The 13,721-nt window shown below is 37.7% G+C and overlaps 1 non-coding gene across 1 annotated transcript, besides 1 other annotated feature; it reads right to left on the reverse strand.

Moving 5' to 3' along the window:
* Positions 1 to 6,658: 6,658 nt before the first annotated feature.
* On the reverse strand, positions 6,659 to 6,767 carry MIR6134 (microRNA 6134). The gene has a single exon (NR_106750.1). It is a non-coding gene; the product is annotated as a microRNA 6134 (primary transcript).
* Positions 9,787 to 10,312: an enhancer, noted in NCBI's record as "OCT4-NANOG hESC enhancer chrX:28516800-28517325 (GRCh37/hg19 assembly coordinates)". NCBI's record gives its function as "activates a minimal SCP1, AML or CMV promoter by ChIP-STARR-seq in naive H9 embryonic stem cells {active_cell/tissue: H9 hESC(naive)}" and the evidence as "EXISTENCE:reporter gene assay evidence [ECO:0000049][PMID:30033119]".

The raw sequence follows: 13,721 nt of genomic DNA on the forward strand, positions 1-13,721 counted from the left end.
GGTCTATATCACCTTTCCTTGAATCTGGGTAAGCTCTTAACTGCTTTGAACAATAGAAAATTGCAAAAGTGGCCGGGCGCGGTGGCTCACACCTATAATCCCAGCACTTTGGGAGGCTGAGGCAGTCGGATCACGAGGTCAGGAGATCGAGACCATCCTGGCTAACACAGTGAAACCCCGTCTCTACTAAAAATACAAAAAATTAGCCGGGCGTGGTGGTGGGCGCCTGTAGTCCCAGCTACTCGAGAGGCTGAGGCAGGAGAATGGTGTGAACCTGGGAGGCGCAGTTTGCAGTGAGCCGAGATGGTGCCACTGCACTCCAGCCTGGGTGACAGATCAAGACTCTGTCTCAAAAAAAAAAAAAAAAAAAAATTGCAAAAGTGACACTGTGTCAGGGTCTGGGCCCATGCTTAAAAGACTGACAATATCTACTTCCTGCCTCTTGGAACCTCACTCTGGGGCAAGCCAGCTCCCTTGTAAGGAGTCCAACTACCTTGAGACCACCAAGCCATCAGGAACCACAAACCAACCTGGAAAGGCTATGGAAAATGAGATTCATGTGAAGAGAGGGACAGGCAAGGAGTCTCAAGGCGCTAAGTATGTGAATGACTAACCTATCCTGTGACAAACCTTCCTAGCTGAAACCATGTGATCAGAGAAATTCCACTAGTCAAGCCCTTTCTGAATTCCTGACCCACAAAAGAGTGAGCAAAGAAATGGTTGTTTTAAGACACTAAATTTGAGAGCAGTTTGTTAAAGAGAAATAAACATAACAAGCTCATCTGCTTTCTGATTGTCTAATAGAGATGTAATTAAGAGCATAGTTAAATTGGGGTTAACAAGGAAATGTTACCATTTCCACCTTAAGAGGCAGTGGAACACCTTACCTTTCAGACTCAGTACCTTTGCAGGTATCTGTGAGACTGAAATGTAAATAGATTATTGTGAGTGGGATTAGCTTTTTGGCCTCTACAATTCTTTGGGTGATCTCTTCTGTTTGCCTTGATCCCAGATGCCTTTAAAAATCCAGTTTCCAATATTGTGTCTGTGGCCCACATTCATCCTTATGGTGATAGTATATCCCAACTATTTGTCCAAGTTCCATTCTTTGATAGAAATAATGGTTAATACCAATAATGATGCATATTTATGGAGTGCTTCTAAGTGCCAGGCAGTATGCTAAACACTTTGTATGTATCATCTTATTCAAAAATCCCAAATATCCCCCATGAAATGTTCTATTTTTATTCCCATTACGTGGATGAGAAAACTAAAACTCAATGAAAGATAGAGGCTTGACAAAGTTAATAAGCTATTAAGTGGTAGAAGTGGGATTTAAACCCAGATAGGCCAACTCTAGGGCAGACAGCACATTATGCTACTACCAAATGTGTTCAGATAGCTGCTATTCATTTATTAGTTAGTTCGATGTTCTGTAAGAAAGGGAAATTCCTAACACATGCCCTCCCAATATTAGGTTTAGATGAGTGAGAGTGAAAAGATATAGGTAAATGTACAATGCTAGACCTTTACCTAAGATATAACAATTTTCTTTTCTTCTACTTCAGATTAAATAACGTTTAGTCCTAACTTTGTGATTTATCAAGAGATCATTAACTGCGTTTGATTGCACAATACTCCCCTCTCAACATGGACATTAGTAGCTTGCTGTGTGATTGTTAATTCCAATCAGTTTACATTAGGTCAAGCTGCCAAGTTCACTAGTAAAAAGTAATGTATCTCCAAAATAAATGCTGCTTTAGGGAAGCTTTTCTGTCAATCACTATATTCTTCACAGAATTTTTAATGAGCCGACACAACCCACAGAAAATTGCCCAGTCAGATACATCAAGTAGATCTTTCCACATTGATAAGCTAGTCAATTAATTCCAAACATTATTAGCCTAGTCAAGAATTACAGTTAGAAATAGTGATCATTCCAAGTTAATATGGAAGAGCCAAGCAGGTTGAGTTCACAAACAATTGTCCAAAAGCGAGTCTTTAAGTATTAGTAATAAGAATATGATTGGAACAAGAAGAATGATAGTTGACTTGAACTAAGATGTATTTTAAAAAGCCTAGCACCAGGCTTCAGATTTCCTATTTCTTATAAATGCTACTGGAGGCTCAACAAGAAGAAAATATGGTTTACCTACGTAAGGTTCCTAAAGACGATTTTGTTATTAACTTCTGTATTTTCATGTATTGGTGCTACATCTGAATAAATGAAACATATTATGCGAAAAAGACCATCTTAGATTACAAATACTTATATATGTCTCTTCCTCCACTGAGTGTAAGTTCTCAAAGGTAAAGAATTGCTTTTTTAATTCATTTCTGTATCTGCCAAAGCACACCCAACACAGTGCCTGGCACAGTTGTTCAAGAAGATATGGCTTGAGTGGAATTCAATTTAAATGTCTCTTTTTGTTCTAAATAACTATTTTTATATTTGCACAAAAGGCATTCAGGTATTCAAATTCATCTAACCTAGTCTATTACATTAATATCATATTCACTTTTATGTTAGCAGCTTTACTGAGACAAGATTTACATGCCATAAAGTTTACCCATTAAAGTGTACATTTCAATGGCTTTTAGTATATTTACAGTGTTGTGCAACCATACTGTAATCAATTTCAGGGCATTTTTATTACCCCATAAAAAAACCCTGTACCCATTAGCAGTCACTCTCCCCACCTCCAGCCCCTGGAAACCATGAATCAGCTTTCTGTCTCTATAAATTTGCTTATTCTGGACATTTTATATAAATGGAATTATACAATGTGTGGCTTTTTGTGTTCAGCTTCTATAATTTATCATAATGTTATTGAGATTCATTGTAGCATATATTAGTACTCAGTCCTTTTTATGGCTAAATAGTATTCTGTTATAGGAATATACACATTTCGTTTATTCATTGATCTATTGATGGACATTTGGGTTGTTTCCACTTTTTGGCCACTACAAATAATGCTGCTATGAACATTTATGTACAAGTATTTGTGTGAACATAAGTTGTCATATCTCTTGGGCATATACCTAGGAGTGTAATTGCAGACTCATATAGTAACCCTATGCTCAACTTTTTGGATAATTGGCAGGCTGTTTTCTAAAGCAGCTGCACCACTTTACATTCCCACCAGCAACGTAAGGGGAGTCCAGTTTTTCCACATCGTCACTAACACTTGTAATTTTTCTTTCTTTTTTTATTTCAGCCGTCTTAATGGGTGTGAAATGGTATGTCATCGTGGGTTTGATTTGCATTTTCCTAATGACTAATGATATTGAGAAACTTTTCTTGTGCTTAGTAAACGTTCTTGAAGTCCAACTTCTTGATATTTTTCTTTTGTTGCTTAGGCTTTCGGTATCATATCTAAGAATCCATTACCTAATCCAAGGTCTACTTTGATGCCAATATCACACAATTTTGATTATGTAACTTTTTCATAAATCTCGAGTTGTACATTTTTTGTATTTTCCTCTCATATGGCTTAGCAATGTTCCACATTTTGATATGTTTTGTTTTTATTTTCACTGAGTTTTATGTATTTTTTACATTTTCTTTGAGTGTTCCTCCATGACTTACGTAAGATTTAAAAGCATGTTCTTTAATATTCAAGTGCATGGATATTTTCCTGATGTCTTTGTTATTTATTTCTAGTTAGACTCTATTATGGTCAAAGAACAAATTTCACACACTTTCTAGTCTTAATTTGTTGAGATATGTTAATGGCCCGATATATGGTATATCTTAGTGACTGTTTCATGGGTTCTTGAAAAAAAAATAGTGTATTTTACTATTTTGGGGTGGATTGTGGTATATATGTCAATTAGACCTTTTTGGCTGGTTGTATTGTTCAGTTCTTTTATATCCTTGCTGATTTTCTGTCCAGTAGTTTTATCAGTTTCTGAGAGTGGAATGTTAAAGTCCTCAACTATAGCTGTGGATTTATCTATTTCTCCTTTCAGCTCTATCAGTTTTTACCTCAAGTATTTTGAGGCCTGTTTTTTGGTGCACATGCATTCAGTATCATTATATATTTTTGGTGAATTGATTCTTTTATCATTATGTAATGTCTATCGTTGTCAGTAATTTTCTTTTCTGTGAAATCTACTTTATCTGATATTGATATATTCTCTTCCTTTTTAACAATTAATGTTTGCATAGTGTATCTTTTTTCATCCATTTATTTTCAGTCTACCTATGTAATTGTATTTGAAGTCAGTTTCCTATAGGAAAGATATTGTTGGATCATATTTTTAACCCACTTTGCCAATCTCTCTCTCTTAATTGGTGTATTTAGACCATTTACATTTAAAGTAATTATTTATATGTTAAGGCTTAAGTCTGCCATGTTATTGTTTGTTTTCTATTTGTTTTCTCTGTTTCTTGTTCCTCCGTTTGTCTTTTTCTTAACTTCCTATGAGTTGCTTGTACATTTTTTAGGATATAATCTTGATTATTTATATATCTGTATTAGTCCATTTTCATGCTGCTGATAAAGACTTACCTGAGACTGGGCAATTTACAAAAGAAAGAGGTTTAATTGGACTTACAGTTCCACGTGGCTGGGGAAGCCTCACAATCATGGCAGAAGGCAAGGAGGAGCAAGTTACATCTTACATGGATGCCGGCAGGCAAAGAGAGAGTGAGAAGCCAGGTGAAACGGGTTTCTCCTTATAAAACCATCAGATCTTGAGACTTATTCACTACCACAAGAACAGTATGGGGGAAACCGCTGCCATGATTCAATTATCTCCCACCAGGTCCCTCCCACAAAAATGGGAATTATGACAGATACAATTCAAGATGAGATTTGGGCGGGGACAAAGCTAAATTATATCAGTATCTTTTGAACATATCATCTTATATTGTTTTCTTAGTGGTTGCTCTAGGTGTTACAATGCATGTAAGTAAGCTATCACTTCTATTAATGGTTTATCACTTTGAGTGAAGTGTAGAAATCTTACTACCATTTAGGTCCTTTTACCTTTCCTAAATTTTAAATATAATGATCTTAATTATTTACTCTAGATACATTGAGCATCACATCTAATGATGTCATAATTTTTGCTTCAAACATCAAATATAGTGTATGAAACTCATGAGAAGACTAGTCTTCAATATATTACCCCATTCTTACTCATTCTGATGCTTTTCTTTCCTTTTTGAAGTTCCAAGCCTTCATTTGTTATCATTTCCTTTCTGTTTAGAGAACTTCCTTTAGCCTTTCATTAAGGGTGCTTTTACTTGCAACAAAGTATCATAAGTTTCCTTCTTGTAGGTTTCCTTCACCTGAGAATGTCTTTATTTCCCGTTTATTCCTGAAGAATATTTTTGCTGGATGCAGAATTCTGGGTTGATATTTACTTCCTTTCAGTACTTGAAAAATCTTGCACCACGCCTTCTAAATTGCATAGTTTTAGGGTGGGAAATTTACTGCAATTCAAGGTGGTATTCCTCTATATGCAATATGTTGTTTCTGTCTGTCTGCTTTTAATTCTTTTCTTTTTGTTTAGTTCTCACAAGTTTAATTTTGTTGTGTCTTTGCATACATTTTTTTAGGTTTATCCTACTTGGAGTTTCCTCAGCTTTTTGAATCTATAGGATATGGCTTTCACTAAATTTGGAGAGTTTTCAACCATTATTTCTTTAAATGTTTTTGTTCTTCTCAGACTCTGATGATACAAATGTTAGATCTTTGTTATTGTCCTAAAAGTTCCCTGATACTTTGTTTATTTTCTGCCCGGTCTCTTCTCTCCCCTGAGTTGTTATTGTCCTAAAGTTCCCTGATACTTTGTTCATTTTCTGCCAGGTCTCTTTTCTCCCCTGAGTTGAGATAAATTTCAAACTGAGTGCATTCCAATAATCTGTACTTAAGTTCACTGATTCTATCTTCTTGTGATCTCCAATGTACTCTTGAGCCCACCTATTGAATTTATTTTAATTACTACACTTTTCAGTTCTATGATTTCCATTTTGTTCTTTTTTATAATTTCTATTTCTTTGCTGAGGTTTTCTATTTTTTTCCTTTGTTTCAAGAGTATATGTAATTGCTTGTTGACACATTTTGATGATGGCTGCTTTAAAAACCTTATCAGATAATGCGAAGATCTGATTCACCTTGCTTTCAACCACCTTGGTGTTTTATCAGTTCGTTGGTTCTTTTTATTCATGCTGTGATTTTTCTGATTGTTCGTATAGCAAGTGATTTTTCCATTATAGTCTAGACATTTTAGATATTACATTATGAGACTATGGATCCTATTTCATCTCCTCTTTTTAGCAGACAATTGCCTGTTCAAGTGTAGCATGAAGGCAGTTTGCCATGCATATTCTGTTTCCAACTGAACCCCACCAACACTATCATGACAAAAGTGGGGCAGTGACTCACATTGCCTCACTACAGATAAGTGGGGTAGAGGTTTAGCCACACCTTTGGCCCTGTTAACACCATCTTGATGAAAGTAGGACACTGAGTCACATTGCTTCATTGCCTCTGAGTAGGAGTATAAGCTCGACTTCCCACTGGACACTCTGACACCAGCAAGGGGTAAGGAGAGGACTGATGCATACCTCTTTGTTACTACAGATGGGGGCAGAAGCTCACTGTCTGCTAAACCCCATTAATACCAGGGAAGCACAGGGTTTGAGAAAGCAGAGTGTCAACCAGCTCTACATCCTACCACCTCATTCAGCTTCATTTATGCAGGTGGAAATAGAGGGTCAGTTCCCTACTGAGCCCTACTGACATCAAGGCCCAGTGGGGAGCTGAGGTTCAACTCCCACCTGGCATCAATGCCTGGCATCAATGAAATGCTTGGTGACCCAAATTTGTACTGCCTTCCTAAGTCTCACTAATCCTGGGTACAGAGGAGGCTCAGCTGCCTGCTGGACCCCACGGCCACTACACTGGCTGGGGAATCAGAATACTGCCTGAGACAGCCAGGGAGAGGCAAAAAGACCAGGTCCCTGCTCAGTCCTGCTAACACTATCTTGGCAGAGGAATTGGAGCACTTCCTGGTTCTGCTGAATGGAAGCAGAATTTCAACTGCCCCATTAACTTGCTGACAAAAGTGCTGTCTGCTTCCACCAGGCAGCAGTGGGAAGATTAGCTCCACATTTAGAAAATTAGGTCCGTGCTCAGCCCCACCCTAGGAAAAGGAAGGAAGAAATTCGAGTCCCACCACCTGCTTTCATAGAGTAGGGTAGTGGTGTGAAAATCAACTCCCCACTAAGTTTCACTGAAATCCCAAAAGCAGGGGCATTTTTTTCTATTGATGTTTGGCTGAGGGTGTATGTATTGCCAAAAAGGTTTTTTTTATTGTTGGGACACCCCATTTCTGGTCAATTAGCTAGGGAAGAAAGTACTTTTTTTGGAGTTTTCTTTTATCCATGGCTATTGGCAGTTCCGGGTTAGATGCTTCTGAAGAGCCCTGTCTGGGATATATGGGCTATATTAAGGAAACGCAGATAACACATCACCGTTTTATTCTTCAAGTCCCAAGGTCCCTAGGTAGTCCACCCCTTTCAGCATTTTCCTATGCTTAGTGCTATATCCAAAGATCTAGGAAAATATGTATCATATGAAATTCAAGTGATATGTCAACTTGCAACATTTGAATTAATTTATATTCTAGACAACCTTTTTAGGTCCTCTTAAAATTTAAGTTGACAGTGAAGTGCCCATTCGAGTGGGTAAATTTTGATATAAAAGGTCAGTGCTACTCATATTTTCCCTGGAAAATCCCCTAAGAATATCAAAGTATTTCTTGTTTTCCCCCATATCTTCCAAACATTTTAATGCTTCTAAGAGCTGATTATGGTAGAATTTTTTTAAGTATACAATCGTCTAAAAATAGCTCTGATTCTATGAATTAGGAAAGAAAAAGGAAAGAGAACCATTAACAGTCCAATCAGATAGTTAAATAAATAAATTTTTGCTAGAAAGAACTGAGAAAGTGGCATCATGTAACTAACTTCAAAATAATACATGGATAAAAATATATATTACTAAAACTATAAATGTTTACAAAAACGTCCGTTAAAAATAAAAACAAGGCCAGCGCGGTGGCTCACGCCTGTAATCCCAACACTTTGGGAGCCCAAGGCGGGCGAATCACTAGGTCGGGAGTTCGAGACCAGCCTGGCCAACATGGTGAAAACCCGCCTCTACTAAAAATACGAAAAATTAGCTGGGCATGGTGGCACATGCCTGTAATCCCAGCTACTCGGGAGGCTGAGGCAGGAGAATCGCTTGAACCCGGGAGGCAGAGGTTGCAGTGAGCCGAGATCACACCACTGCACTCCAGCCCCGGCGACAGAGTGAGACTATGTCTCAAAAATAAATAAATAAATATAAATTAATTAATTAACTAATTAATTAAATAAAATCAAAACAGACAATCCCGGCCAGGCGCAGTGGCTCATGCCTGTAACCTCAGCACTCTGGGAGGCCGTGGTGGGCAGATCACTTGAGATCAGAAGTTCAAGACCAGCCTGGGCAACAAGGTGAAACCCCATCTCAACTAAAAATACAAAAATTAGCAGGGCATGGTGGCGGGTGCCTGTCATACCAGCTACTTGGGAGGCTGAGGCAGGAGAATTGCTTGAACCCAGGAGGCAGAGGTTGCAGTTGAGCCCAGATCATGCCACTGCACTCCAGCCTGGGCTACAGAGTGAGACTCCGTCTTAAAAAAAAAAAAAAAAAAAAAAGACAATCACTACACATTACAGTTGGAAGTTTCAAAACCATTCCCACAGATAAATGGAAGCATCTTGTAAATCCACAGAAATAATAGAGCATGGAACCAGTGGTTGGTTTCTCTACCTACCATAATTCCCCTTATTGGCTTTAGGGCCAAGACAGCAGCAGAAATATTGGTCCTGGTGCAATTCCTAAACGATGCAGCCCATCTGATGCTTCTTGTTCATAAAATGGAATATACAATGATCTTAAATGTCTAGAGAAAAAGTTAAGTTGCCTTCCCTACTTTTTTCCTTGGTGATTGTTATGGAAAGAGTCTACCAAGAAATACAATCAAGCCAAAATTGACACCAGGATTGTTTTGGTTTCCATACTTAGGTAACAATTTTCAGCCCAAGTGAGTTGTAGAGGAAGCAGTTTCTCACATAAGAATTTGTGGGTCTCTGAGGCTTTCTTACTTCTTAATGGATTCAATGTAGTCTTTATAAAAGTAGACAGTACTTAAGAACAATATTAATTAGTTGTAAGTGTTTATGTATCTAATTTTTTGCATTTCTACAAGCAGTCTGCACTGCAGATGTAGTTAGACATAATTCCAAAGTTCTAATAAATCCAATAGTATAAGTAAGGAATAGATAGGTAGATAGATATATATATATATAGACAGATAGATAGTTAGATTCCAGGGTTAAAGCAGAACTTTTAATCTGGTCAGAGTATAACCTCTAAACTTTAATTATTTTCATCCTCTTCTTCAGCCAAGACCTGAACTCCTCTTCCATCTAGGTCTAGGGCAAATGTGTCATTTCCCAAAATCTATTTGTGTTCGTGACCCAGGTCAGGAAAAAGGAAGAAGGGAGCAGAGAATGCAAGATGTAATTGCTCTGAAGAAACATCGTGTCTCTTGCTGAGTGAAGTCTTACCAATACAGTTTATTAGCAAGTTTAATACCTTTCGATAAACAATGAGGAAAAAGTTTTGAAATAAAAGTAAGTAAAGTTTCTGTTCGCTTTAATAATTATCAAAATTAAAAGGGTAAGCAGCAACTTACAGCTTGTTACAGGAAGGTTTTATGGAAACTGTGATTCTAAAAGGATACCTCTGACTCATTAGAATCATTCCAGGCATATAGAGCAAGATGAGGAGGGAAGGAAAAAAAAAAAAAAAACTACCCAGAAAAGAGATTAAGAAAAGAATTCTGTTTAGTCATAGCGAAAGGAGGGAGGAAAGTATCAGAGGCCCAAAGGAAGCAAGGGAAGCAATATAAATGGGACAAAGGGATTAAAGGGCTGGGAGGTGAGGGCAGGTCTGGATTTGTTTGAAAGGCAAGGAGACGAGGTTAAGTGATTTACTAAAGGTCCCCTACTGAGTCACTGGCAGCACCGCTTCCATCCCTCCTATTTTGGGTTTCCTCTTTAGTTCCTTGTCTCTACACAGAAATAGACATTCTATGTGATTTTCTCTCATTGCAAATCTTTTATACTTTAACTCAGAAAGCCGTGTTTAGAGGGCTGTGTAGGTGGTTGTTTTTAATGTTGAATTTTTTCCCCTTCTTTGGGAAAACTGCTGGTATAGAAAGCTTCCTTGACTCAGTATTGAGACAAATAAAAGACAAATGTGTTATTCTACTGAGACTGTTGAAATGAAAGTTTGCTTTGAAGTCGGGTACTAGAATACATATGAGAAAATACTGTTCTTGTCATAAAAACTGGCAGCTGAGCATTCTTTTTCCTGTCAGAGAGAATGACAGTCTAACGGGGCCAAAGTCAGACTGAGGGAATAGATTTTTTTTTCTTTAATTACTAACTCAACCTATGGCCAGAAAAGGACAAATGTTAGACGTAAAGAGTAGATTAAAAATCTGGAGAAAATGACCAATAATCATATAATTAATAGAAATGAATTTCAAGAATTCAAATTGTTATCTATTGATAGGAATATTATAAACATTAACAACTATTCCTAAGTATTTTTGAACAAGTCATTGACTTTATCCTGTAATTTTGACATAAGACAATTTGATTTAACAGGAATCTTCCTATCTTTAAAATGCTGCAGCTTAAATCCATCCATCTGGAGTCTGATGTTTGAAACAGTTATTTCTGGAAGCCTCTGCTGATAGAAATCAAAACAATATAATACAAAACCTTAAAAAATGACAACAAATATATTGTTGGATTTTTCTCATACAATTAATTTCACCTTTACTTTCATATCTTACTGACCTGGATTTAACACCATAGCTATTGTTTTAAGTGTGAATCAGTCCAATATATGATGCTGAAAATATTAAATTTAAAATGAAGAGAAATCGAAACAGATATTCTCTTAGTCAATACATATCCCTACAGTTATATTTCTCTTAGTCATTAAAAAAATAAATTTAAGTGAAAACCTGTATTTATTAAAAGGCTATTAGAAGAAAAATCACTGACAAAATATCCAGTAGTTAAATAAGCTAGGGAAAAGCATGCAGGTCACTGGTTGCCAAGCCAACTCAAAACACTTGTCCTTCATGCCAGAGATGCTAGAGAACAGAATATCACAGAGGCACTGCTTTTGGTGGGCCCAACTCCCACGAACATGTAGAGCCAAAGGATGTGTTTAACAATCAATTTTTAAAAATCACTACTTCAGTGCATTAAATATGAAATACTAAAACTAATGGCTTGATGTCGACATCAAGACGCATCCAATGAAGTCAGCCTATGTTACCCCCGCAGACCTGAACTACATTAGCCTTGGACTGTCAGTGCTTGTCTAGACTCTTTTTAAAAACTCTTAGCTTTCTAGAGTTTATGGTTGCTCTGAGATTTCCTTTAGCCTTTTCAGATTATGGCCTCAGTTTCCTTTCTGCTCTCTGTTGACAACTCTCAGCATGTATTTTAGTTGAAACCATATGTTTTCTTTTTTTTTTTAACTGGATACAGAAAAATTGTACATATTTTAGAGTATATGTGATATTTTGATACATGCATACGGTGTGTCATGATCAAATCAGGGTAACTGGGATATCCATTGCCTCAAACGTTTATCATTTCTTTGTGTTCAGAATATTCCAATTCTTCTCTTCTAGCTATTTTGAAATAAACGATAAATTATTGTTAACTACAGTCACCCTGCTGTACTATCAAACACTAGAACTTATACCCTCTGTCTAACTGCATTCTCCTACCAGGAACCATACATTTTCTGAGTGAAAAGATTCAAAACAAGAGTTCTGTGTTATTGCTGTTGACTGGCCATGCTCTACAATCCATAACATTTAGATACTTCAGGGATTAATGATGTCTGAGCCTGGGAGTCCAAATATCTTGGTTCTAATCCTGACTCCAGCATTAATGTATACCATATCTTGGACACATCAGTTATATTCTTACTGACTCTTTCCTCACGTCGATTCACGCATGTCCATCTCTCTTTAGTGAATCACGAAATGTGGTAGAGAAGGAAAAATTATAATATCCTAAATACTTTGAATTTTTCAGTGGAGAGTGATGCATAAGATTATTGCTCTTACTATATTCATTAACAATATATAAAGACATCCGGCCGGGCATGGTGGCTCATGCCTGTAATCCCAGCACTTTGGGAGGCCAAGGCAGGTGGATCATGAGGTCAGGAGATCAAGATCATCCTGGTTAACACGGTGAAACTCCATCTCTACTAAAAATACACAAAATTAGCTGGGCATGGTGGCACTCGCCTGTAGTCCCAGCTACTCAGGAGGCTGAGGCAGGAGAATCGCTTGAACCTGGGAGGTGGAGGTTGCAGTGAGCTGAGATTGTGCCATTGCTGTCCAGCCTGGGTGACAAAGTAAGACTCTGTCTCAAAAAAAAAAAATACATCCTCTAGAAAGTGATGAGACATTTCCACACCTTGAAGGGAGTACCAGCTGTATAATTTTCAGTGCCCAGTGCAAAATGAAGATGTAGGACCCCTTTTAAAACTTATTAAGAATTTGAAGAGAGTGAGAGCAGAGCATTATGCAAGTGTGGGACACTTCTGAAAACACGGCCCTATGCAACTGTACAAGTTGCACATGCATGGAGCACATCTTGCCTAAAGCATTGCTCTTGGTAGGAAAAAATATAACAATTCCAAAAGCTTGTATTCTGGGATTTGACTCTTATTTTGTGCCTCAAATGAGGTGCAAAGATAAATCATTTAAAAAAAAAACGAAACTCTTGTTTCTCCCTTTACTCTCTCTTGTGTCTCTGGTAGGATGAGCCTTCCTACCCTTGCCATCATTTCAGTCACAGTCCAGAAAACATAAAAATCCACTGTAAAGAAGAGAAATGAAGAACAAATACAATATTCACTGTTTTGATACAATATTTATTTAGTTTGCTGTCACTTTACACAACAAGTATGCAGTACAAAAGAAGGCAACATTCTGAAAACATGCTCTCCTGGCTCATTTCGGTTTGCTACACTCCCTTTGCAGCTCTCAGGCTTCTTCTCCACCTCTTTCCTGTTCTGTTCCCAGGCAGGCTAATTCCCACAGAATATCGCTGGGCCCTTTTGTTGGCTAGCTTCCCATTGACAGAGGATTGGAGGTTGAGAGGCAAGAAAATTGTAGGTATTTCTTTTCAACTTATCCAACTCAGTGTTGATCTCTGGCAGCAGCAACAGCCCTCCCATCAGACAGCCCCACCTCCATGATTCCAGTCTTCAGAGGCCTCCCCCTATCCCTTTGATGGGGGCCTAAAAGTGGTAACCATTTCCTGCTGCTACTACTCTTTGGATGCCTCAATGTCTTCTTTTAGTTTTGTCACTCCTGTTAAAGTATCTTCATTTAAACCTTGGGAGTGAAATCTGTTTCTTGTGGGAACGCTGTATGATGCATGTGATTAAATGTAATATTCTACTTAAATCAACTTAAACAGATTCTACCCTTCTGAAAGGACTGCTCAAAATCCCAACCTATTCTTTAAACCCACCTGAATACTTCGGTCCATATTGCTGTCACTCTTTTCTAGGGACTCGGGCCTGTGTGAAGAGACCACC

This window comes from Homo sapiens, chromosome X (genome assembly GCF_000001405.40).
Source record: "Homo sapiens chromosome X, GRCh38.p14 Primary Assembly".
Lineage (NCBI taxonomy): Eukaryota > Metazoa > Chordata > Mammalia > Primates > Hominidae > Homo > Homo sapiens.